At 36.6% G+C, this 27,898-nt stretch overlaps 1 long non-coding RNA gene across 1 annotated transcript in view, besides 1 other annotated feature; it reads right to left on the bottom strand.

Moving 5' to 3' along the window:
* Nucleotides 1-27,898, bottom strand: part of LINC01692 (long intergenic non-protein coding RNA 1692) — a 217,197-nt gene that overhangs the window by 85,084 nt on the left and 104,215 nt on the right. The window lies entirely within an intron of this gene.
* Nucleotides 17,085-17,134: an enhancer, noted in NCBI's record as "active region_18302". NCBI's record gives its function as "activates an Ori minimal core promoter by ATAC-STARR-seq in GM12878 lymphoblastoid cells {active_cell/tissue: GM12878}" and the evidence as "EXISTENCE:reporter gene assay evidence [ECO:0000049][PMID:35858748]".

The following is a 27,898-nucleotide window of genomic DNA, read 5'->3' as shown; positions in this document are numbered from 1 at the left end:
ATCGTATTGAGGTTCCCTTGAAAGTGAGGAGTTTTGTTTTGTTGTAATTTTCTCTTGCTGCTTTCAAGATTTTCTCCTTGTTTTAAGTTTAAGCATTTTTACTATGATGTGTCTGATGTGGATATGGACATGGATGTTGATGCACTTAATGGTGTCCCAGATTTCCCTGAGGCTCCTTATTTCTCTTTTTTATGTTTTCTGTTTTTTAGCTTGCATAATCTGAATGAGTCTATCTTCAAGTTTGCTCATTCCTTCTTCTGCCAATTCAAATCTACTGTTGGGCCCATCTAGTATAATTTTCATTTCAGTTCTTGTGTTTATCAGCTCCAGAATTTCCATAATAATTTTTATCTCTTTATTGATACTTTGTCTTGTGTTGGACATCGTCATCATGACTTCCTTTACTTTTTAAACAAAGTTCCCTTTCAATCTGTGAACATACTTAAAATGGCTACCATGAAGCCTTTCCTGTTAAATTTGATATCTGGCTGCTCTCACAGTTCCTTTTGCCTGCTTTTTCTTTTTTCATTTTATATGTCATACTTTCCCATTTCTTTGCATTCCTAATTATTTTCTTGTTGGAAACTAGACCTCTTGAATAATATATTACGGCAACTTTGCATATGAGTCTCCTCCCTTTCAGGGCTGGAATATTTTAGTGATGTCTATTTTCTCCTACCCCACACTGTTAAACCTCTGATGTTAATCTTCAGTGGGGCACAGCTTTTGGTATGTCCACAGTCACCTTGAGACAATAGTGGGTTTGGTACGGCTCTCTTCATCTCTTTCCCTGACGATAGCAAACTGTTATGCCCCATTAATTGGAGGCTGATTGCTCTACTATTTTCAACTATGTCCTGGGTTATAAATTGCTCTATAGGCTAATACAATCAGATTTGGGCTTCTTTGAAGGAGGTTCTTAGATCAGTGTTGTATATTTTTTTCTCTAAGTTTTCTCTTTCTCAGGTTCTCTCCTACAAACGAACTGGCTTACCGTTCAGCCTATGTCTTGAATCTATTTTCTCCCAGTTGCTTTTCACCATGACCTCCATGTCTATAGGCTAGAATTTCCCTGTGCTCTGTTGCAAGTGAAGTCAATTTCTTTGGGAAGAGACTAGGAGCTATTAGTTTTATGGCCTGCTTTTCCCTCTAGTAAAATATTGAGTTAGGCCTCTGTGGTTAGGTTTGAGATGATGGGATACTTTCTCTGAGTGATGCTCCTACTTTTGAACCTGAGTGCCCAATGGAAGTGGAGATTGTAGCATGAGGTCTTCATGAGTTGGTTTTCTTGGTGTGGAAACTTATGATCCAGGGTAAGGCAACTGGGGCTCCAGTATTTTTAAAGGTACTGTGCCCGAAATGGAGTCTCTGTTCCATGAGTGGAGGGTGGGGTGAAGAAGGGGGCCTTGCCTCTCAACTGTTCTCACCTGAAACAACCTCAGCAACAGGAGACAACTGGCAGTAGGAGAAGAAATGTGGATGTTGCATTCTGCCCTAGAAGAAAGCTCTCCAACTGGAAGCTGTGGGAGAAGATGCCATTTGTTCTTGGCTAAGGAAGTCTAGATTGGAGAAGTCAGCTATTAAATCTTATTGTTTTTAATATCTTATGATAATATCTCTGAACTGGGAGGGCAATGGAGAGTGGACTTTGCTTAAATACTACACACTCCTGCTTTTCATTCTGAATATTACTAGATTTAATTGAATGGATGTTTCTTCATTTGCTGTATTCCTTTAGGATCATTTCCAGGGGTTATAAAAAGTTGTTTTTTAAAAAAAAATAATTTTTACCAGTTTCACTGGGGAATAATTTTTCCAACAGTCATGCTGGAAGTCCTCTTATAATTATATTTTGCTTATCTGGATAATTTTTTCTGTCTTAAAGTCAGCTAATATTTTCTGTCTTGAAGTCAGCTGATTGCAACCTTATATCCATCTATCACCTCGAATTCCCCTTTGCTATTTAATCTAATATATACATAAGCTATGGAGGCTTCAAAACGGGCTCCTATGGGGAAACACCATTCTGCCTGACACAGTGAACCCAATACATCAGACAGTAATTTTGATCTGCATTGATCATATCCTCATGCTGTGATTTGGTTTGAGTTTGTTCCCACCAAACCTCATGTTGAAATTTGATCCCTGAAATGGCAGTCTTGGGAAGTGGAGCCTAGTGAGAATTGTCTGAATCATTGGAGTAAATCTCTCCTGATGGCTTAGTGCCCTTCTCATGGTAGTGAATGAGTTCTCACTCTGGCAAGACTGAATAAGTTCTCATGGAACTTAATGAATTCCCTTGAGAATGAGTTGCTATCAAGCCAGGATGCCTCTTAGGTTTTTCCTCTTCACACATAACTGCTTCCATTTTGACCTTCTCTGCCATGTTATGATGCAGCACAGAAGACCTTGCCAGAAATCATGGCCATGTCCTTGAACTGTCCAGCCTGCAGAACCATGAGCTAAATAAACCACTTTTCTCTATAAATTACTCATCTCAGGTATTTGTGTGTAGCAATACAAAACAGACTAAGGTAGTTCATAAGATAATGGTATATCTTAGGCATGACCAAAAGCATGACAAAAAGTGTCAGTGAGCATTAATACAAACATTTTTTTTCTCTCTGTGTTAAGTCATGCCAGGTCCAGGCATACTTTTCTGCCCTTCTGTTAAGCAATATATATGATGAACATATTTACATGTCCCTATGTCAAACAATATTGGAATCAAGCAAAAATGTCTTAATTACTTGTTGCAAGAAATATTTAATTGTTGAAGACAAGACTGTAAATGCAGCCACAAGCCTTTTCTCCCAGACCATATGAAAACATATGGCAGGCTGACATATCTTCTTGTCAAATCCCCCTTTAAGACTCACTCCTCACTGTAAGGACAGCCTGCTTATCAAATCCCCCTTTAAGACCCACTCCTCACTGTGATCACTAATCTAGATCTAGTAATTCAAAAACTATACCTAATTTCAACCAGTTTCCTCCTTTGAAACACTCATCTTAAAATCATTCTGCTCAGGTTATAAAACCCTAAATATTTCCTACCCAAAGGTTGGAACATTACTGTTTTTTAATCAAGAAGGTGTGTGTGTGTGTGTGTTTAGATGTGTGTGTGTGTGTCTGCGTGTGTGTCCCTTACTGTAAGAAGTCTGAACAACCAAGCTCTGCTTGATCATCTGATTTTTTTGATGACGGTTTGTGAAGCTGACAGTTGAAAATTGAGTCACTAACATGAGTATACACAAGATATTGACTGTGAAATGTACTAAAAGTTAGGAAAAAATGAACCATATTATGAAAATGTAGACTGCTTATTTTTGAATATTTGTGTGAACTGTCTTTTCAATAATGAAACTGGAAGCAGAGAAATACTGCTGCAATTGTTCAACTACAAAACCCCCTAAATAAGGAAATAGGGCTTGAGAATAAGAATACATAGAAGCTTTCAGATTATTGCTGCTTTATTTCTCTGTAATTTTCTATGCTCTAGCTATTGGGAAAAGAAATACATATGATTTGTTTACTTATTTTCTTTCTATTCTGTCCATCTCTCAACAGTGAGCTAAAAGGAGTTAAATATATATTTTCTTTTTGATTTTGCCATCGTGAAGGAGGAGAAGTTCAATAGTTCTGAATTTTTTTGCAAAGGGTTTCTACTAATTATTTAAATTTAATATTCTCTGAAGTAATGCTACATTATTACTGATATTTGTGTCAACGGTATGTACAGAATAGAAATTCTTAAACTTATCAAACAGAAAGAGGTCTGGAGCTCAGTAGCCCAGTGGTTTCCAACCCTGGATGCAGGTTGGTGTCACCTGTTGACGCCATATCTCTGAGTGTTCGGCCTTGGTTTCTCCACAGGTGATTCTGATACATAGTGTGAGTTGATAGTAGTGATATAATCCATCTCCCAAATAACAGACTTTGGGAAAAAGAGGTTGCTAGAGGTTGGAAATTTTCACTGAAGGCTAGCAAACTAACAGTGGTAGATGTGAAATCATAACCCATGATTTCTGTTCTTAAAGTTAGAATCCTAAATAAATAAATGAGAAAAATAAGACTGAAGTTTTAATGCATGCCTTGAGACATTTTATGTTATTAGCTAATCTTCTAGGTAATGATTGCAGTTCCATGGTTAAATTGTTAAATTCAAAATATTCTGATTCCTATGCATTATGGCTCAGGAAACTATAGCCTGTAAGCCAGATCAAGCCTGCCATATGTTTTTGTATGGTCTGGGAGCAAAGACTTGTTGCATTTTTAATTTTTTGAAAAAAATTTCAAGGAAAATAATACATGTGACACATGAAAATTACGTGTAATTCAAATTTTACTGTTCATAAATGAAGTTTTATTAAAATACAGCCATAATGTTTTATTTATATATTGTCTATGATCACTTTTATGTCATAGTAGCAGAGTTGAGTAGTTGTCACAGAGACCATATGGCCCACAAAGCTGAACATATTATATTATCTGGTCTGTTATGAATAAGTTTTGCCTACCCTTGCTTTCAACAAAGAGTTAAAAATTCTGGATCTGTGCAAGTCAGTGGGTGTGTCTAATAATGCAAGATATGGAGTGGTTGAATGCATTTCTGGGCATGCTGTTCTATATATTTCTTCAATACCACTCATTATTCTATTTGACTATTGTTCTCGGGTTATATTAAAGATTAACGATGCACTCAGCTTAAATCAAGATTCACAGAGATGGGAGCATATAACAGAGTAGAAGGCATAATAGTTACAGATTTCACTTTTCTTCCTCTACAGAAATTCCGAGGAGTTAAAGTGTAAGGAATTTAAGTAATTGTAGGAAATCTCTCCCAAAGGATGCACAGCTCTGCCATATTCTTGTCATAAAGTTGACGGTACACCTATGCTATCCTATTTGGAAAAATATGGTGAGATGATGTGCAATGTCCGTCATTTTGCATTTTAAAATAATTAGGTTTAATTGTGCAGTGAGTATACATAATATTTGCATAACTCTCTAGTTGAAAAAAAGAACTTCAAAACTCTGTGCCTGAAGAGATATTAGTGATTGTCACAAAGTCACTAATATTTGTGGATCTGTGTCCCTACAGCAAGGTATTATTTGGTAATAGATATAAATCTTTGAAAGGCTCTCAGTACAGACGTAGCTACTAAATAACAGTTGCTGTGGTTAATGTGCCATGGGATGGTGAGATAACATTCCTATTGATTATATAAACATCAGTCAGCCTGTAACCCATTGGAATGAAAACGACGGCGGCAACAACAGTAATAACACGGGTGATAGCAGCAGCAGCAAACATGGCTCTAGAACTTTCTATGCGCCTAGAATGGTTTAGATACTTTACAGGTTTTAACTCACTTAAATCCTCACAGCAACCTTACAAGGTAGATAACTATGACACTGTACTCAGTATATTATACATTGCACTGTACAGATGAGAAATATAAAGCACTGAGGAGGCAAGAAACTTGGCAAAGGTCACATAGTGAGGAGATGAAAAAAAACTGGAAACCAGGCAATCTGGCTGCAGTCTTCGTTCTTAAATAGTATCTTTTTTTCTGCTATAGTTTATATGAAATATGTCACGTAAGTAAAGAAACAGACTGTCCACCAAATCATGTTTTAGAAAAAATATTAAGATTCTAAAGGATGGGACTATTTCTCAGGATATGGACTGTGTTGTAATCATACTTTTTAATCTCCTGATTCTAGTGTAGTGTATAGTACAATATATAGTTGGTGCTCCATAAAAGTTTGCCAAATGAATCAACCGATCTGTGGGAAATATGCCTCAGGCTGAGTAGGAAGAAGTGAACTTTTCCCCAATTGTTGCCTTTCATAAGCCTTGCCCACAGGAAGTCTGGGAATTGTAGAGTATCAATAGCTCTTTAATCTAGCTCTGACAACTACCTTGAGATGTAGGTGACATTTTCTCATTAGGGCTTCCCTTATCCCTAAGGAACTATTTCTTTATGTCTCTTCAGGAATATGTCTAAAGATTTTGATTTTTTTTTGGATAACCATTTGTGTTCATTCTTTGCTGTGATGGGGTAGAAAGTTAATGGGTGCCGCACACCAACATGGCACATGTATACATATGTAACAAACCTGCACATTGTGCGCATGTACCCTAAAACTTAAAGTATAATAATAATTAAAAAAAAAAGAAATATATCACTGTTTTGTCTTCACTGGGTCCACTCAGTTTGGGGATTGGAAGGCTTTCAGCAGGCAGGGAGTCATTACAAACTCATGTATTTCTTCAAGAAATCCTCATTTCACTGAAGAGATCATTAGGCGATCAATTAGTTATTAGTGAGAGCGCTCTGGAATTTATCTCAGAGTCTAGAACCCCATATTTAATTTGTGTGAGGTGATCATAGGAATTCACATTCCCACTGGCCTTTCTTGCCTTATAACCTGAATTATGTATGTTCTCCTATGCAAATCATCACATTGATTCTTTTGTTAACAGCTTTAATGAGGTGTAATTGATATACAAATAACTACACATATTTAATGTGGACAATTTGGTGAGTTTCAGTATATGCAAACACCTGTGATAGCATCAGTACATTTGAGGTTACAGATGTAACCGTCACCTCCCAAAGCTTTCTTGTGCCCCTATGTTTTTGTTTTTGTGGCGAGAACACTTAACATGAGATGAGCCTTCTTAACAAATTTTGACGTGCCCAGCACTGTATTGTTAACTGTAGACACTAGGCTGCAGAACACATCTTTAGAACTTACTTACAGGCAGTTCCATTCTCAGCAAAGATTGCGTTTGTCTGGAGGTCCAAAGTCCTTAATTAGGTCTGTAATAATCTCTTTGCTCTGGTCATGTCCAGTTGTTGCAGCACCATTTGTTGAAAAGATTATCCTTTCTCAATGGAATTGCCTTTGTTCCTTTCTCAAAGATTAGTTAATGGTATTTGTTTGGGTCTGTTTCTGAGCTCTGTATTGTTTTCCATTGACCTGTTCTTCCATTCTTCTAGCCTTTTGCCTGTATCACACTGTCTTGACTAATGTACCTTTATGTAATTTATAAACTCCAGGAGTTTAGTATTATAAGTTTTTTCCTTTTTTTCAGTATTGTGTTGGCTATTCTGCATCTTTTTTCTTTTCATATAAACTTTAGAGTCATTTGCTGATGTCCACAAAATGACTTTCTAGAATTTTGGGTTGCGATTGTTTGTATCTAGATCAAGTTGTAAACAATTAGCTTCTTAACTATATTAGGCCTTTCTATTCATAAACATGGAACATCTATTTTTTTATTTAGATATCTTTGTTGTTTTATCTGAGCTTTGTAGTTTTACTCATACAGATCTTGTATATATTTGTATAATTGAACCAAAATGCTTCTAATTTCAAATTATATTTGTTTATTACAGGCTATACATAAATATAATTTGACTATTGTGTATTTATAAGGTTGTATTATACAATCTTGCAGTAATTGCTTTTTAGTCCCAGGAGTAATTTTGTTAGTTCTTTGGGATTTTTTACACAGACAACCCATGTCATCTACAAACAAACACAGTTTTATTTATTCTTTCCCAATCTCTATATGTTGTATTACCCTTCCTCTTTTAATTGCATTTTCTAGGACTTCCATCATAGAATTGAATAGGAGTGATGAGAGAAAACATCCTTGCCTTATTCCCAACCACAGAAAGAAATTGTCCAGTTTCTACCATTAAGTATGCTGTTAGCTATAGGTTTTTATAGATTTTATTTTTCCAACTTCAGTGAGTTCTAGTCTTAGTTTTCTGAGATATCTTATCACAAGTGGCTATTGCATTTTGTCAAATGCATTTTCTGCACCTATTGATATGCTTATGTGATATTTCTTCTTTCATCTGTTAATATGGTGCATTATATTAACTGACTGCTGAATGTTGAACCAGCCCTGCAAATCTACAACAAATCCCACTTGGCCCTGGTGTATACGTTTTTATATATCGTTAGATTTTCTTTGCTCATACTTTGTTGAGAAAATTTTCATTTATGTTCATCAGAGATATTGGTCCCTTGTTTTCCTTTTCTGTAATGTCTTTATCTGATTTTGAGATTAAGATAATGCTGCCTCATAGAATATATTAGGAAGTGTCCTTTCCAATTTTATTTTTTGGGGATTGTGGTTTACTATCACTTCTTTCTTAAATGTTTGGTAAGATCCAACATTGAAACCATCAGTTTTAGCGCTTTATTTTTTGGAAGGTTATTAATTATTGATTCAATTTTAAAAATAGATATAGAGCTATTCTAATTACATATTCTTGTGTCAGTTTTGACAAATTGTGCTTTTCAGTTAATTGGTACATATCATCAAAGTTATATGTGTGGTCATAGAATTGTTCATAATATGCCTTTATTATTCTTTTTGCATCTATGAGACAGTAGTGATGACCCTTCTTCCATTCCTGGTATTAGTAATTTGTGTCTTCTTTATTTGTTTGTTTAATTTTTGGTTAGGCTAGCTAACCAGTTTATCCATTTCATTGATATTACCAAATAACTACTAATAAATATTATAACTACTGAATCAATAAGACTTAGTTTCAAATTCTGATCATACCTCCCTTTTTGCTATATGAGCTTCCAATTAATCTTTAGAGTTTAAGTTTCCTCATTTGTAAATCAAAGATTATGATCTGTCTGAGTTGTTTTGATAATTAGAAATAATGTGTGCAAAAAGGCATTGTGTTAGTCTGTTCTTGCAGTGCTATGAAATACCATTTGACTTGATAATCCCATTACTGGGTGTATACCCAAAGGAATATAAATCATTCTACTATAAAGATACATGCATACATATGTTGGTTGCAGCACTATTCACAATAGCAAAGACATGGAATCAATCCAAATGCCCATCAATGATAAACTAGATAAAGAAAATGTGGTACATACACACTATGGAATACTATGCAGCCATAAAAATGAATGAGCTCATGTCCTTTGCAGGGACATGGATGGAGCCAGATGCTATCATCCTCAGCACAGCAATGCAGAAAACCAAACACTGCATGTTCTCACTTATAAGTGGGAGTCAAAAAATGAGAACACATGAACACAGGAAGGAGAACAACACACACTGGGGACTAGTGGGAGACGGGGAGGAGTGAGAGATCATCAGGAAAAACAGCTAATGCACGCCTGGCTTAATACCAAGGTGATGGGTAGATAGGTGCAGCAAGCCACGTGCACATGTTTACCTATGTAACAAACCTGCACATCCTGCACGTGCACCCCAGAACTTAAAATAAAATAAAATTTAAAAAAAAGAATTACCTCAGATTGGGTAGTTTATAAAGAAAAGAGGTTTAATTGGCTCATGGTTCTGCAGGCTGTCCAGGAGGCATAGCAGCTTCTGCTTCTGAGGAGGGCCTCAGGAAACTTACAATCATGATTAGGAGACAGGAAGGCAGGCACATCTTACACTGCCAGAGCAGGAGCAAAGGAGAGAGAAGGAGGTGCTACACACATTTCAAAAACCAGGTCTTGTGATAACTCACTCACTCACTATCATGAGAACAGCACCAAGGAGGAGGTGCTACACCATTCATCACGGACCACCCGCATGATCCACTCACCTCCCACCAGGCCCCACCTCCAATATTGGGGATTACAATTCAACATGAGATTTGGGCAGGGACGCAGATCCAAACCATATCAGTCATTATCACAGTGTTTGTTATGTTGTTAGAAATAAAGAGAAGTCTAGTAATAATACATTATTGTGGATGTATTTTTATTAGTATGTCATCAAAGTATTATCCTCCATGACTACTAATTATAAAAAAATGCAAATGAACAAATTTCACCTTAAAATTGAATGTGTTTATTTGAATTTTAATGGATCTACCATGCCTTATGCACAATGTCTTTCTCTGGTCAATTCAGCAGAATATAATTTCATGACATCAGGGTAATGATGAAATTTTTTTATCGCCAAAAAGATTTTTTTTCCTGTGAAAATATATAGGGAATGAGGTTTGTATTATTATAAAAATTCAGCAATGTTTTACTCTTGGCCTAGTTGGAAAAACACAGTAGTAGCCATGAAATAAGAGATAGAGAAGAACTGAGCCTAAAATGCATTTGGTTTATGAAAAAGAGAAATTAATATTTTATTTTCCTGAATGTTGAAAATGTTAAATGTATAACTCCTATTTATTTTTGTGCTTTAAAAAAGCAAAGTACAAAATAGTTTTTTTTCCAAGCTGATAGTATTTTTTCCCAAGCTGATAGCCCAAATCTCATGTTGAATTGTAATCCCCAATATTGGAGGTGGGGCCTGGTGGGAGGTGAGTGGATCATGCGGGTGGTCCGTGATGAATGGTTTAACACCTCCTCCTTGGTGCTGTTCTCATGATAGTGAGTGAGTGAGTGAGTTATCACAAGACCTGGTTTTTGAAATGTGTGTAGCACCTCCTTCTCTCTCCTTTGCTTCTGCAAAAATAACCATCTAATGATCTGAAAGACTTCTAAAGTATCATCTTCAAATTGTTCTGTTAAACAAGGGGTGAAAGTCCAGGGCTACACATTTGTCAAGTAAATTGGCAGAGCTATTGCAGCAAGGGGATTTGACAGAACCACACACGTGGGTCTTTGCTGATTCAAGTGGCATTTATTGAGTTCAAGTTATTTTTGTTGCTGTTGTTGTTGATTTTTGTACCGTTTCACAAAGTCAGTAAGATTTTAAATTAATATGTGAAACCTGCATAAAGATAATTTTGAACCTTTCAAAGTTTTAGAAAAATAAAACATGTCATAAGTAAATTTTTTCTTCTCTTTCTCTTTCTCAAGACAAATGTCAGCATTGTAAACTGTATCTGTCTCAATAAGTAATGCAAAAAAGGCTCTATGAGTTGCTGTTTCTCCTTTGTTTTTCTTGTTCTCCACCACTGCTCCCAGAACTCATATCTCCTTCACCTTCTCTCTTGGTTCAATTTTTATTTTTCAGGTTTCACAGAAGCAAGTTTTCAAGTTAGATTGAGTAATAGAAATAAACTAACGAGAACTATGATTAAACAGGAAAGCTAGTCTTCATTTTAGTATTGTAGCTTGTGTGTAGTGCTTTGAACATCTTTTTCTCCCTTTGCTGAATAACCAAAGTTTCTCTGTACTAAGGAAAAGAATATCAACCTCTCATCCAATCTGCAAGAATTTTTGAAATTACTTCTGTCAGTTGATCATATAGTAACTTCAAGTATGTTAGAATCATGTTCTGAGGAGCCACTTACTCATAAAGAGACAGAATGTAGTCCTAATATTTTACAATGAGCCTAATCTGCCACCTTCCAATTTATTTCTGGATTTTTGTTCAACCCTTTGGGTTAAAACCAAACAAATATCTTGTTCATCATTTATTAATGTAAGAAGTATTTGTTAACCATTACCAGGTACTGATTTGAGCATTGGTGATTAGCAGTGAGCAAATTAGATATAAATTCCTGCTTTTATGAGCCCCACATTTAGGTAGGTTTGAGGTAATAAAAAAGAAAAATAAGAAAAATACATACTCTATTAGGTAGAAGTAAGTGCTAAATGACGCAATACAAGCAGAGAGGGAGCTAGGAAGTGTGACTGTGCGTGTGTGTGAGAGAGAATTAGCAAGTTATGTAGGGCAACTTTGGAAGCCCTCAGTGAAAAAATGACTTCCAGTGGCTATGATAAGGTAAGCCATAAGCGTATTTGGAGAAAGATTTTCAAGCAGAAAGAACAGCAAAGGCAAGAGACTTCAAAGTAGGCAATTTCATTTCATTTCCTGCATGACAGTCCCTGAACTATTTCACAGTCACTAGTATATCATCCAGTATTTCCTTTTTTGTTATTAAAGAGCCCAACTGCCTTTCTTTGCTTCATGGATAAAACAATTATGCAAACTTTAATGACATAGTTGCCTCTCTCCTGGGAACAGCCAATGCTTTGCGTTCACCCTCTTTTTCACATTTGCGTGGGATAATACTAAATATTTTATTTTACCTGTTCAGTAGTGACTAAGAGGAATGAATAGATTATTTATGTTTTTGCAGCTTTAAAAATAAGTGCAGTTCTGACATGATTAAAAACTTTGCTGAGGCCGGGTGTGGTGGCTCACGCCTGTAATCCCAGCATTTTGGGAGGCTGAGGCAGGCGATCACTTGAGGTCAGGAGTTCGAAACCATCATGGCCAACATGAAGAAACCCTGTCTCTACTAAAAATACAAAAATTAGCCGGGCGTGGTGGTGTGCGCTTGTAATCCCAGCTACCCCAGAGGCTGAGGCAGGAGAATTGCTTGACCCCGGGAGATGGAGGTTGCAGTGAGCGGAGATCGTGCCACTGCACTCCAGCCTGGGTGACAGAACGAGACTCCATCTCAAAAAAAAAAAAAAAAAATTGTTGGCTCTTCATTTCTCTTTCATATCTGTTTTACTCATTTCTCTCTCTTATTCTCCTTCTTGTCCCACATTTCCATCCCCTAAAGAGCCACTAGATTACAGATTCTTCCTAAAAGTTTAATTATTCTATTTTTATCTGAGTAGGGCTGAGGAGGCAAGAATGGAGTGTTGGGCATCTGACAAGATACACTTCCTGCATTTAACCTCTGTCCTTCAATATCTACCTTATTTTGTAACTACCAGCAGAATGGGAAAGGCTGAATAACTAACTGCTAAATTTTAACAAATCTCTGTGAAGTGTCATGTCATTTTTCTCTAAAAGTCAAAGTGATAAAATCACTGAAGCATAGGAAAATGACATTAGAGACGTCACCTCCTTTAACTGTATAAATCACTCTCTAGGTTTTAGCTGCTCATTATAAATCTCATCAGTCAGTAATACCTGTTATGTATATAACAGTGAATATATAATTTATCATTCAAATTTGGCTTTTTGTGAGTGACCATGGGCACTATTAAATAAAAATCAGTCTGCAAGGCAGGCATGAAGCAGAACTCTGCGAAGGAAAACTGAAATTGTGTTTATCCTACTTATAATGATATTTAATAGAGGTAGTCACATAGTCACTAACAGATAAGGTTCTAGAATCACAGGGAATTGGGTTTGTATTCCAGTGTTCAGGAGACAGCTGTTTGACCTTGGGGACATCACTGAACTTCTCTAACTTTATTCCCCAAATCAGCATAGTGTAGCTATCACTGGTTTTAATCTCATAGAACTATTATGAGGATTCATTGAGGTCAAATGTATAAGTTGGTTTCCTTAGATGTTATGTATGTAATGAATTCAAATGTTATGAAAATAGAGGCATAAGATTAGTGAGCCTCTTCATATTTAAAATAACAAAGGAATGTATTAAAATGAACGTAAAAATGACAAAGTAAAATATAAAATGTGTCCACAAATATGATGGTACTAAAAATTGGTTCTAATTTCTTTCTTTTTTTTTTGAGACGGAGTTTCGCTCTTGTTGCCCAGGCTGGAGTGCAACGGCGCGATCTTGGCTCACTGCAATCTCCGCCTCCCAGGTTCAAGCCATTCTCCTGCCACAGCTTCCCAAGTAACTGGGATTACAGGCATGTGCCACCATGCCTGGCTAATTCTGTATTTTTAGTAGAGACAGGGTTTGTCCATGTTGGTCAGGCTGGTCTGGAACTCCTGACCTCAGGTGATCCGCCCGTCTGGGCCTCTCAAAGTGCTGGGATTACAGGCTTGAGCCACCGTGCCCAGCCTTCTAATTTCTTTATGTATAAGTACATGACTAGATAGCAGAACTAGAGATAATAATATCTTAATATATGATAGAAATGGCTTTTAGTGCTTTTTCTATATTAACTAACTTAATCCCTTCAACAACTCTATGAAGAGCTATTCTTGTGGGGAAATTGAGACACAAAGGTATTAAGAAGCCTTTTCTTTTCTTTGTTTTTTTTTTTTTTTTTCTTTTTTAAGACAGGGTCTCACTCTATTGCCCAGGCTGGAGTGCAGAGGCATGATCTCGGCTCACTGCAACCTCCACCTCCCAGGTAAAAGCAATTCTCCTGCCTCAGCCTCCCCAGTAGCTGGGACTACAGGTGCATACTGCCACACCCAGCTAATTTCTGTTATTTTTTTTAGTAGAGACAGGGTTTTACCATGTTGGCCAGGCTGGTCTTGAACTCCTGACCTCAGTTGATCCACCCATCTTGGCCTGCCAAAGTGCTGAGATTATAGGCATGAGCCTGGCCAAGGAGGCTTTTCAAGGTCACCTAAGAGGTAATTGTCAAAGCAGAGATTTACACCCAGGCGATTTGGTGTCTTAACCTTTAGGATATTCAGACTCTCGGTATGAATAGAAATGAAACAACTCTATAACAAATTTGGAATTAGAGAAATAAATATTTTTAATAAGTTTTAAAAAAATCTGACTTTTGCTTACAGTGAAGAAAACCAGATTTATTTTCCAATCTTAAAATAATAGAAAACCAAACAAAATATATGAAACAACGGTTTTTGTTGTTATGCTTTCATTTTTGTTTTTATATTGAACAACGGAAATATGCAGTACAGGAAAGTGATTCCTGAATAAGAGAAAACAAATGAGTTAAGCCCCATCATTGCCTCAGCTTACTGCTTTAATAGAGTTCCTACGCTTAAATACAAAACACAGAGAACTGAACAGAGATTAGTGGTCCTGCTGAGTTGAGGAGACATTTGGAGTTCAGAAGACCAAGGTAGTTAAAATTTATAAGAAAAAATTTGGAGAGTAGAGAGATTGACAGCCCTGGATATTTGCAATGAGGAAAACCTCTTCTTTTTATCCCAATACTGAAATTTGCCTGCATGAGACAGCATTGTCTTAGGTGAAGAAAACAAGTATTGAAGAGAAATAATGCTTGTAACTCCTCAGAAGAGTTCTATACTGAGTGATTTTTTTGATCATCCTAACAAATTAACAATTCTAACTTAGAAGCAGTTGTTGAAAAGGATCCAACTGGTCCCAGGTATCTTAACTGTGATCTAATGCAAAGCCCGACAATATTTAAAGGACTACAAAAAACATTCAGAAAACAAAAACATAAATTCTACCATGCCCAACACCCAAACAAAAATTGACAGGCATGAAAGGAAGTAGAAAAATATAATCCATAACAGAGAAAAATCAATAAACAGAAATAGGCTTTCAAATGTAAGGTATTATAGAATTAGCAGAAAAGAACACTAAAACATCTATTAGATGTATAATTCATATTTTTAAAATGTATAAAAATAATGAGTAGTAAGATGTGAAAAGAATTAAATTGAATTTTTAGAGATAAAATACACTATCTGAAATAAAAAATACATTGGAAGATATTAACAGAAGATTAGAAACTGTAGAATAAAATATCAATAAATATAAATACATAGAAATGTAAATTATTCAGATGAAACACAGAAAGGAAAAACCAACAAATATTAGCAGGGCTTTTATAGGCTACTACTGAGCTACTACTAACAGGTTACTTTTGGGTAAAACAATTTGAGGCAGTTATCAATATACTGAATTGGACAAATAATAGTTAACTGTGAAAATCTAACTGAATTATGTAAAGAGAACAAATATATATATATATATATATATATAAATAAAATTTATTTTAACAAAGTCTATGCAGCAGATTTTGGACTCAATTCTTTGCCCTTAAGGTAAGAATGTTGCCATTCTGTTGAGCATAAGAAGGGGGTCTTTACATGGGAATTATATCTTTGTGGGTTTTTAAGTGTTTTTTCTAAATAGTATGTCAGAATAGTGAGGAGTTTTGGATAAAGAGAGTTTAGCTCACAGAAAGATAAAGAGACAGAATTGTCAAAAGAAGGAGGGGGAGCTCTGGAAAGGAAAAAAAGTTTTAGTTAGCTTTGAGACAGTATTTTGTAGCAAGGCAGTCTTTGAGTCCTGAATGGTTCTTTGTTTCCTAGCCTCAAGATATCAATGCGATAAGCATATCTTGTTTAAAATGTAAAATTTTATAGCAGCAATCTTTTATTCTAGTTTTAAAACAACAGGTGGTTTGAATGATCCCTATAATGTTTAAACATGTTACCAATCAGAGTCCCAGAAAATGTCTTGGCATGGCTTTAAACTTTCTCAGGTTGAGTTTATCCAAAGCCTTAAGGTGCAGGAATTTTCCCTATAGTTTTTAAATGTAAAGCTTACCTGGGTACCTGAAGGCAGCTGGTCAGAGACCATCCCCTCGGGACATGGATTACTCATTGCAGGGACCTGACAAAGGTGTCCCTTCTGATACCCTTAGTGTGAGCATTACAGCAAAACCTGAAATGTGAGCACACCCCAGGAAGCACGAGTGTACCCACAAATTGCAAGTGTACCCTACAAAATGTGAGTGGACCCCACAGGGCTGATAGAGCCTAATGAACTGGCTTCCTGAAGAAAAGTTTTCAAGGCTTCAACCTAAAAATGGGAGATCTTAAATCCTAGAAAGCAGCCAGAAGATAACTGAGTTCAAGGGACTCTTGTAGGCATCAGGTGTTGTTCCAGATGTGGCTGGGAAGGAGCTTGGGGGCCACTTCTGATCCCATCGTTGTCCCCAAAGAAATGTTAACAAAAGTCATGAGATTTGCAGAGGGAAAAGGAGTAGCTTTAATTTCTATATTAAAAAAAAATCTGCAAACTGGGGAAGCAAAGCCTTCAGTGTAAGTGAAATGTGTTCTCTAAAGAGGGTAGGGTGAGGCTGATGTTTATGCCTTACATGGTCTGTTTTGCATAATTGGGTCATACGTTTTCAGCGGGTTTGGGGAAAATCTATGTATATTTATGAGGGAAGTCAGGCACATGCACAATGGGTAAACAGATATGTAACATACACTCTATGTTCACTTTGTGGTTGAGTTTTAGTATTAAAATGAGGGGGAGTTTAGCTGACTACATTAAAAGGTGAACTACAGAGTTCAAAGCATTTTGTGTACATCCTGTGTAAGGCGGCCGAAACTGGCTTGAGGTTTGTGGTTGTGTATCAGGAAAGAATGTTTGAAGGACCAATACCCTGTCTAATCAGAATTTGTGATGGGACTGCAGAACCGGAGGGGAAACAGTAGGATAAGGGGCAAAGCCTGGGTTGGATAGTCTTTCAATAGAAACTACAAGTCTTTCAATTAGGAGGTTCCAGGTGTCAGCTGAGCTTGTGAGGGTCAGAGGGGACACTCTAGCTGTAGTTGTTTTGACAAGGCTCTTTAGGAACTGGTTTCTGCTTAATTACAGGAAAGAAAATTTCGTGACAGTACTGAGTAACACAGGGATATGTGACCAGCTCCTCACCCTGCCATGACCCTTTGATTCTGTTTGGTTGTGCCTCATGTTAGCCATGAAGAGTTCATCTTGCCTGTCTGTTGGGGTATATTTTAATATGATCAAATAGGAAAGAAAACAGTGTTCTTCAGCTGATGAATGGCTAGACAAATTGTAGTGAACTAACCTGCTATTATCTTCTTTTTTTTTTTTTTTTTGAGATGGAGTCTCGCTCTGTCGCCCAGGCTGGAGTGCAGTGGCGCAATCTTGGCTCACTGTAATCTCTGCTTCCCAGGTTCAAGTGATTCCCCTGCCTCAGTCTCCCAAGTAGCTGGGATTACAGGCACGCGACACAATGCCCAGCTAATTTTTTGTATTTTTAGTAGAGACGGGGTTTCACTATGTTGGCCAGGATGGTCTTGATCTCCTGATCTCATGATCCACCCACCTCGTGATCCACCCGCCTTGTGATCCACCCTCCCAAAGTGCTGGGATTACAGGCGTGAGCACCGTGCCGGGCCCTAACCTGCTATTATCTTAATGTTCATGTGTCCCTAAGATTCATATGTTGAAATCCTCACTCCCAAGGTGATGGTATTAGGAAACTGATCCATCGGGAGGTTACTAGGTGTTTAGGCAGAGCTCTTGTGAATGGGATTAGTGCCCTTGTAAAACAGGGTCTAGGGAGATCCTTACATCTTCAACCATGTGAGGTTATAGTGAAAAAGCAGCTGTTTAGGAAGTGAGCCCTTAGTAGACACCAATCTGCAGACACCTTGATCTTGGATTTCCAGCCCTAGAACAGTGAGAAATAAACTTCTCTTGTTTATAAGCAAGCCAGTTTAGAGTATTTTTTTTATAGCAGCCCAAACGGGCTAAGCTACCATTCAATGGAATGTTACCAGTGATAAAAAGAGATGAACAAATATAAATATCAACATGGTTAAATTTCAAAAGCATTATAGGAAGTGAAAGAAGTGAAACACAAATGGCTGCAAACTATATGGTTTTGTTTATGTAAAAATATTTTTTACAAGGCAAAACTATTATTTTAGAAAGAATAGAGTTTGCCAGTTTCAGGGAGGTAGGGAAAGCTAATTGACAGGAAAGAGCTAAGTAGTACAATTTTGGGGGTGACGAAGCTATTTTGCTAGTATTACTGACCATACATATGTTGAATTTTATACCAAAAATTGGTACATTTTATTCTAAAATTATGGCTGAACAAAGCTGATTTAAAAATTTAGGTAAGCATAATATTAAATATTTGGAGGTGACTAAAGAAATATGTAACCAAAAAACCCATAATAAAATGCAGAAATGAATATACGTAGCAAATTAATCATGCTACATATTGATGAGATTATCACAAACTAGAATATTTTGATAAGAATTTGAAATTTAAATTATAGTCACAAATAGTAAATATGAAAACATTGCCTATTAAAATATGCTTTTTTAATAGAAAATACCAATGACATTGACCCAAATAAATATATCAGGTCCGAAGTCATCATTTCTCAAATCGTAAATAAAATCATTTAAAAAGTGAAGAAATAAGCTTAAGTAAAAAAGACTTATTAATTAAAAACCCCAAATTGAATGAAATTATGAATTAGCTAAAAGAGAATGTGTGGGCTTCAATGTGCATCATTAATTTTAAGTGAAAATAGAAACATTAAGTGTAATATATCACAGTACAATAAAGTGCCATCAAAATTTCTGTCATTTTGACACATCATTTGAAAATGTAGGCAAAAACATGTGAAAAATTGCTTAAAACTCTTTGCCATCTGGGCAATATCAAACAAATAATACTTTAAAAAAAAGAGTAAAAGGTTAGGATATTTTTTATATGGCTCTGGAATGTATAAGTAAAAATAAATTGGAAGTAAATTGGAGGACATTAAAAGAACTATATATTCATTGGCCTTAAAATATAAAAGTGCCAACTAACATCTTAAACTATTGACCTGTATTTCTACCTGAAATCTACAAAATAAAAAGTTGATAAATTTCTAGAGTTGAATCCCAAACACTTAGTCAGCATATGTATGGAATAGCCAGGATTGAAGCTGTCTGAGACAGTTAGAGATAGACTCTGCAGCAGGCAACTCTAACTACTACACCGCACCAATCAACTTTCGGGAATGCTAATTAGACATGCTTGGCTAAGTTGAACAAAATTCCAACATAAGCTTTTAATGAAAGGCTAAATTTCCTAATACATACTTACTATGTTTCAGATAGGAGAATGGAAATGGGTAAAATATTTTCTATGAAACCCTATTCTTACATATTTTTTGCATATCATGTTCCTGGGTTCAATATCTTTCATTCACTACAGTTTTCATATTTGACCATATTTTCCCCAACATTTGTTTATTAAACGGGTAAGAGGAAAAACTAGCCTAGCTTCATTCTACATTCATTTCTCCTGCACTACTTATACACACAATGAATAGCTAGTAAACTATAGAGCTACAGTATTAATTTTAAAAGACAGTTTCACTGCATAAGATGCAAGAATCCAATAACTGGTGCCCTAAACATGAGTGGAATATTAGAGAACTAATGAAGAAAAACTTAAAAGTCTACTTTTCTCCGTCAAAGACATTGATGTCAATTTCACCATGCTTTGAAAATTTCATGTTTATTATTTTTCTGATGTTTATATCTTCTCTCTTACTCTGTCCTTGCCTGGATCTCACTAGTCCTTTTCTAATACTTCACACTAGATTGTAAACTTCATGATAGCTAGTGTATCTTATTCATTGCTTTCAGAGAAAATCTTAATAAAATAATATTTTTAATCGATGGTAACAACCAGTGTCTTTAACAAAACTAAGAAATGTGATTTGTTCAAGGGCTATAGCTTTTGTATCAAAGTCTGAATTGTATTCTAAGAAAGTAACTATAATAATCAGATCTAGACTTCTGGATTTGTTCACTAATATGGCACATTTGGTCAATAAAATATTGATTATAGTATTGATTTGAACATTTTGAGAAAGATGACATAATAAATTAACATTCATTTGAAATGACCATTACTAGGTGTCAATTAAATGATTGCTGATGTATTTACAGAAACAATTAGGAAATATCTTGATATATGAGCAGGCCTTATTTGTGTTAGAAAAGCCACAGATTATAATCCAGTCTGTGAAAGATAATCTAGCAAAAAACAAAACAAGAACAAGAATTCAGAGCTTTACACATTAAAGGTGTAAGCAACATTGTAACTTCCATATCAAGTGTAATAAAGTTCTCATTTCAGGACACATTTCCACATTTCTAAAGAAAGTGACAATAAAACATCAACAGTTCTTGGATGTTGAAACATAGCCAAAAGTGAGACCATCAGGAGAAGGGCCTAAGAAGAACTAGATTAACAGGAAGAAGGTGAAAAAGTGATAATAAATCTTTTAATCCTGCCACCTACACAGGCGATTCTCCACCTACCAGAGGTGAGAGCATATCTTACTAGGTCACTAACAGCAGCAAAGTCTCTGAAGAAGGTGAGTATGAGTGAGTAAAAGCATCATTTTCAGAAATTTGGAACTTCAACCCTCATCAAACTATTTAATATGACTTCCCATTTAATTCATTTTAATAATATCAGTGCTAAAAGTATTTTGTAGCAGGTAGTCTTATTACAGAAACTGTCTCAATCATACAAAACCTTTTCTCCCCCCTTTGGAGCAGAGCTTCAATCAACTTCTGGACATCTGCAGTCAAACCTACTTCAGGATTCAAGAATGAGACATTCACCATACCCTACATATTAAACAGACATTCACCATATCCTACATATTAAACAGATGTGCCTTCCCTTTGCTGCAGAAGGGCCCATCCTGCTTTTGACTAAGTAGATTCAATACTAATATGGTTATTTGACCAATCTCTGCATTTTGAGGGGAGAGGGAAGACTCATTCTCCAGGGTGTATAAGAAACCATCATATAGTGCTCAGAGATGACGTTGAGAAGACGTCAGTGACAAACATCTGGCTCATTAAAAATGTTTGATCTAGTTTGTATATTTGCCTCTGCCCAAATCTCGTGTTGAGTTGTAATCCCCAATGTCAAAGATGGGGCCTGATGGGAGGTGTCTGGATTATGAGGGCATGAATGGTTTAGTATCATCCTATTGGTGCTGTTCACCTGAGAGTGAGTGAGTTCTCAAGAGATCTGGTCATTTAAAAGTGTGTGGCACCTCCTCTCGCACTACCTCTTTCTTGCTCCTGCTCTGACTCTCTTTCTTCTTCCCCTGCTGGACACTTGCTTCCACTTCTCCTGCCCTTGGACATCACACTCCAAGTTCCACAGCGTTTGGACTCTGGGACTTGCACCAGCAGCTTCCTGGGGGCCCTTGGGCCTTTTGGCCACAGACTAAAGGCTACACTGTCATCCTCCCTGGTTTTGAGGCTTTGGGCTGAGCTACTACCAGCTTATCTCTTTCCCCACCTTGCAGACGGCCTATCATGGGACTTCACCTTGTAATTGTGTGAGCCAGTTCTCCCTAATTAACTCTCTTTTATATATACACACATCCTATTGGTTCTGTGTCTCTGGAGAACCCTGACTAATACATTGTTCAAAATCAGCTGACTTTTCCACAACATTTTCCCTCAATGTTAGTCCCCTTGAAGGGGACCAAGAGGTTTGCAATAAGCGTTGTCCTGCTTCGCCCTATTTCAAAATGTTACTCAGAAAATAGATTTGGAATTAGGCTGGTGAATGCAAGCCCTTATATCTGTGATGTCCAGGGATCATGCTATTAATAACATTTTCAAAGTATCTATGAACCAAAACAAGCTTGAAGGAGAAAGCAGTTTTTTAAAATTATGTCAATACACATATAATTTGTTCTCATATTCTCTTGCCAGCTATTACTGAATATCTTCCAGGAACTGCACTAGGATGGGACATTGGAGCTGAAAGAGAATCAAGCACTCTGGCTCTCAAGGAACTCCCAGACTAATCAGATTTATTTATTTTAGAGACAAACTCTTGCTCTGTTGCCCAGGCTGGAGTACAAGGGTGCGATCACAGCTCATTGCGACCTCAAACTCCTTGGCTCAAGTGATCCTCCTGCCTCAGCCTCCTGAGTGGCTTGGATTACAGGAACATGCCACCACACCAAGCTAAGCTAATACAATTTAGACAATTGAACTCTTGGTGGTGGTGCATCTTGCTGGGGGCCATACAGTTTATATGTCTACTCCCATGTATGCTTATATGTGATGCCAACGCATGAGAGGAGTCACTACCTGCTGAGCTGTGCAGACTCATTCTTTCCAAAGTGAAGGGTAAGAATATGGATGAACTTCTCAGTTCAGACTCTTCATTCTTCTCTCTCTTATGGTCTGATCACTCACTTATATAAATTATCGCCATCGAAGAAATCTAACTTTACAAAAGTGGTGGACAAATTTGGATTCAATATAAGCATTAAAATTGATCTAAAAGTAAAAGTAATGCAGATGACTTTTTAAAATGATAAATCACTTTTTCTCATGTAGCTCAGATTTGTTTAATGGTATGAGGAAAAAAGAATAGCAAATTTGAGAACTGGAGCCCCAATGCCTCCTAAAAGATCCATGTGCTATGATAAAGCAACCTGTTCATGGCCATTCTCAGATTGCATATGCATAGAAAATACTAAACAGACTCTCAAGCTTGGAAGATGGGTGACTCTCTTCCACATAGTACAATTATGTTTACTTATTGGAGTGTAAACTTTAAGGGAGCAGAAATCATATCATTTGTTTGATTCTATATTTTTAACTTCTATGACAGCGGAATCTAAAATATACTGTTGACAGATTGATTGACTGACATAAAGGAGGATCTGTAGACCAAAGTAGTTAAAAAAAAGAGATTTAATAAATTATTTAACTCCTTCTTTCTATCAAAGAGATAGTAAGAGCTGGGGGTAAAAGGAGACAGAAAAAATATGAAGCTACTGTACTAAAAAGAAAATGTAAACAGCCAACACAAAATTGATCAATGAAAGGTGAAGCAGTCACGTGCAACACGGCACATAACTAAGGTAGCTTTAGAGAAGTATACGTGAAGAATAAAAACAGGAAGTATAGGAGCATGGAAAATTTATAATATACACACAAAATGTGCATAAAAGTCTATTTAAGTAATGCAGGCTGGGCGCGGTGGCTTACGCCTGTAATCCCAGCACATGGGAGGCTGAGGAAGGTGGGTGATTCGAGGTCAGAAGTTCGAGACCAGCCTGGCCAACATGGTGAAACCCTGGGTCTACTAAAAATACAAAAAAATGAGCAGGGCATGGTGGCACACACCTGTAATCCCAGCTACTTGGGAAGCTGAGGCGCAAGAATCACTTGAACCCAGGAGGTGGAGGTTGCAGTGAGCCAAGATCGTGCCACTGTGGTCCAGCCTGAGTGACAGAGTGAGATCCCGTCTCAAAAAAAAAAAAAAAAAAGAAGTAATACAAAGGCTTTGGCATAGATAGCCTGACACTCTTTGCCAACATCAATTCATGTGATGATTTATACCACAGTCAAAGCTCTTGTCTATTAATCCATCAGCTCCTCTACTACAAATAATTTCTAACAAGCATCACAAAAATCTTGATCCAAAAGAATAAGTAATAAAGTATTATCTTACTTTGTAAAAACTAACGAGAAAGCCAACAAAAATGATATGCGAGACCAAGAAACAAAGGTGTGATTATGTGATTGTAAAAAGGTCCCTTTACCTGTAATCCCTGTTCCTTTGCCAAAGTGATTTTGTATCTACTTCCAAGGGGAGGTATAGCCAATTTTTCTTTCTTGAATTTGAACTGAACTTTTGCCTTATTTGGCCAGAATTATGTGGCATACACGATGCTTTTCCAGTTCTGAGCCTAGACATTAAGAGACAACACACACCTCTTTTCTCTGGAAACCATGCAGAGCTACCCTGAGCTAGATGGGGGACAATGAAAGATATGAGAGGCCAGTGGACCATGTTCCCAGCCGATCCCTCTGAAGAGGACGTGGCTTGCTGGCTGGCTGCTGGAGGCACTTGTATACATGAGGAGCCCTGCCAAAATCAGAACTGCACAACCCAGATGGCTGGCTTGTTAAGAAGCAAAAGCTATCTTTGCTACATGGTTTGTAAATACACTAGTATTTAAAATTTATAGATTTGTTTACCTCATCCCCCACCAAAAATAAATTCTGAGATTCTTCTACTTGCCAATTAGAACGAGAATTAATAAAATTGTTGAATACAGGATCACTATAAACTAGGCTATAAACTAGTACTAAATAAAAAAAATTAGTTCTAAGAAAAATATACTATTTAATATAGAAACAAAATACAAAGTAACAGCATAAATCAAACATTTACTGGAAAAGTTATTCCACGTTCATAAACTTTTGAAGGAATCAATGTCATAATGATGTCAATGTTCCCTCAATTAATCCATACATTTAATTTAATGTATATTCATACATTCAATTATAATTCCATCAGAATTTTTTAAGGCACTTAGCAAGCCGATTCTAAAATGTATGTAGAAGTAAGGAGGCCTGAGAGTAATTCAAAAGCAAAGAAGCCTCAGAATAATTAAGTCAATGTTTAAGAAGCTAAAAAAGGTGGAGGCTACCCAGGTAGCTTAACTCATCATGAAGTTATGCGAATATACAAAGAGAACGGTAATGTTATTGCCAGAATAGACAAATAGACTCGAAGAATAGACAGTCTGGGAAAGATCATTGCATGTATGAGAAAAGTGATGTTAGAAAACAATGAGGTAAAAAGGAACCATTCAATCAATGATAACGAACAATAGGCTACCTGTACTAAAACAAAACAAAACAAAATGATCCCTGAAGTCCGACCATATATAAAAATAATTTCCATACATACAAAAGACAAAACTTTAAAACCTTTGGAGAAATTTTAGAGGAAAATATTCTTGTGGTCTTAGAATAGAGAATAATTTCTTACATGATATTTTAAAAATTTCAACTCATAAAGAATTGTGTAAATGCTCCTACTAATGCAAAGTCCCCATAAAATCAGTGCAGAGACAAGTTTAGGTGGGACTATATGTAATAAATATAGATATCCATAATTAATGGCCATAGTAAGGCCACTATGAAGCAATAAGGAAAAGATAAACAGTATGGAAATATTAGCAAAGTATATGAATTAAACATTCACAAGCAAAGAAGCCTAAATGACCAATAAACATAACAACTCACACTCATTTCATCATTATTAATATTATTATTTGAGACAGGGTCTTGCTCTGTTGCCCAGGGTGGAGTACACTGGTGTGATCATAGCTCACTGCAGCCTCAAACCTGGGGGCTCAAGTGATCATCCAGTCTCAGTCTCCAGAGTAGCTGGGACTACAGGTATGCACCACTATGCCTGAGTCATTTCACTGTTAATGAGGAAAATGGAAAAATAAAATTCTTTACCAGATTTGACTACCTTGGTAAGTATGTGGAGCAGTGGAGACATTTATATACTATTAGGTGATGCAAAAGTAATTGCGGTTTTTGTCATTAAAAGTAATGGCAAAACTGCATTACTTTTGCACCAACCTAATACTATAAGTAGTACTGAAAATTGTACATCAACATTAGAGAGCGATTGAGCATTATGTAACAAAGCTAAATAGCTTATTTCTTATGGCAAAAGCTATTTTACATTAGGTTTATGTTCAAGAATGCATATTGTTCTACAGCAGGTTTATTGCTATATTGTAATTTTTAGTAATTGTAAAAGTTTAAGTTAGGACAAAACCAATATCTATTTATGAAAAAAAAATAGGTGGTTAAAAATGGTCAATTTGCCAGGCACAGTGGCTTATATCTGTATTCCCAGCACTTTGGGAGGCCAAGGAGGATGGATCACCTGAGGCCAGGAGTTCAAGACCAGACTGGACAACATGGTGAAACCCCGTCTCTACTAAAAACATACAAAAATTAACGGGGTGTGGTGGCACACTTCTGTAATCCCAGCTACTCAGGAGGCTGAGGTAGAATCGCTTGAACCTAGGAAGTGGAGGTTGCAGTGAGCCAAGATCGCGCCACTGCACTGCAGCCTGGGATACAAAGCAAGACTCCATCTCAAAAAAAAAAAAAAAAAAAAAAAGTGGTCAATTTAAATGGAATATTTAGAATAATGAAAATGAAAATGTATACAATATTATTACATAAATTAGCATCATTACATATCATAAACAACCCTCATCATTATTGTGATACTCTGTGTGGGAATTTTCAAAATAGGTAAACAGCACTATAAGTTGCATATGAGCATAGCCAGAGGTAAAAGTGCACATACACATCTGAATAATGACTAAGAAGTTAAAGAATGTTTTCCCTTGGTGGTGAAGGAAAGTGAGCAGAGTAGGAGGAGTACACAGAAAGCTATAATTGTGATTTTAATTTTAACTTACTAAACTTGAAGGTGAGTGTGTGTGTTCAATAGATTATTGTTTAAATTTTGTAGTATTTTTTAAAATAGACATTTTTCTTTTTTTTTTTTTTTTTTTTGGAGACAGAGTTTGCTCTTGTTGCCCAAGCTGGAGTGCAATGGCATGATCTCGGCTCACTGCAACCTCCGCCTCCCAGGCTCCAGTGATTCTCCTGCCTCAGCCTCCTGAGTAGCTGAGATTACAGGCACGTGCCACCACACTGGGCTAATTTTTTGTATTTTTAGTAGAAACAGTGTTTCAACATGTTAGCCAGGCTGGTCTTGAACTCCTGACCTCAGGTGATCCACCTGCTTTGGCCTCCCAAAGTGATGGGATTACAGGCGTGAGTCACTTTGCCCGACCAAAAATAGACTTTATTTCTTAGAGCAGTTTTAGGTTCACAGCAAAATTGAGCAGAAGATACAAAGAGGTCTCATATATGCCCTCCCTTCACACATGCACAACCTCTTCCATTATTAACATCTCCCATCAAAATGGTACCTTGGTTATAACTGTTGAACCTACAATGTCACCTCATTAGCACCCAAAGCCCACAATTTACATTAGGGCTCACTCCTGATACTGAACATTTTCTGGATTTGGACAAATATAAAATGACATTTATCCACCATTGTAGAATCATAGAGTAGTTTCACTGCACTAAAAATCCTCTGTGCTTCATCCATGTATCCCTTTCTTTCCTAATTCCTGGACTAGAAATAGCTAATCTTTTTACTGTCTCCATAATTTTTCCTGTTTCATTGTCACATAGTTGGAATCATACAGTATACAGCCTTTGCAAATTGACTTCTTTCACCTAGTAATATACGTTTAAGTTTCCTCCATGTCTTTTTATGGCTTGATAGCTCATTTCATTTTAGTGGTGAACAATGCTCCATTTCATGGATTTACCAGTTTATTCATCCACTTATTTACTGAAGGACATCTTGGTTGCTTCAAAGTTTTGGCAATTATGAATAAAGATATGAAAAATCATATGTAGGTTTTTGTGCACATTTTATGCAGCTCCTCTGGGTAAATACAAATGAGTGTGATTGCTATATCATATGGTTAAAGTATGTTTTGTTTTGTAAGAGACTACCAAACTGTCTTGCAAAGTGACTATGCCATTTGCATTCCCATCATCAATGAATGCTCTTGTTGCTTCACATCCTCACCAGCATTTGCTATTGCTCTGGATTTTGC

Source organism: Homo sapiens, chromosome 21, assembly GCF_000001405.40.
Source record: "Homo sapiens chromosome 21, GRCh38.p14 Primary Assembly".
NCBI classification, from domain to species: domain Eukaryota; kingdom Metazoa; phylum Chordata; class Mammalia; order Primates; family Hominidae; genus Homo; species Homo sapiens.
The sequence above is the reverse complement of the archived record's forward strand: the minus strand, read 5'-3'. Positions and strand labels throughout refer to the sequence as shown.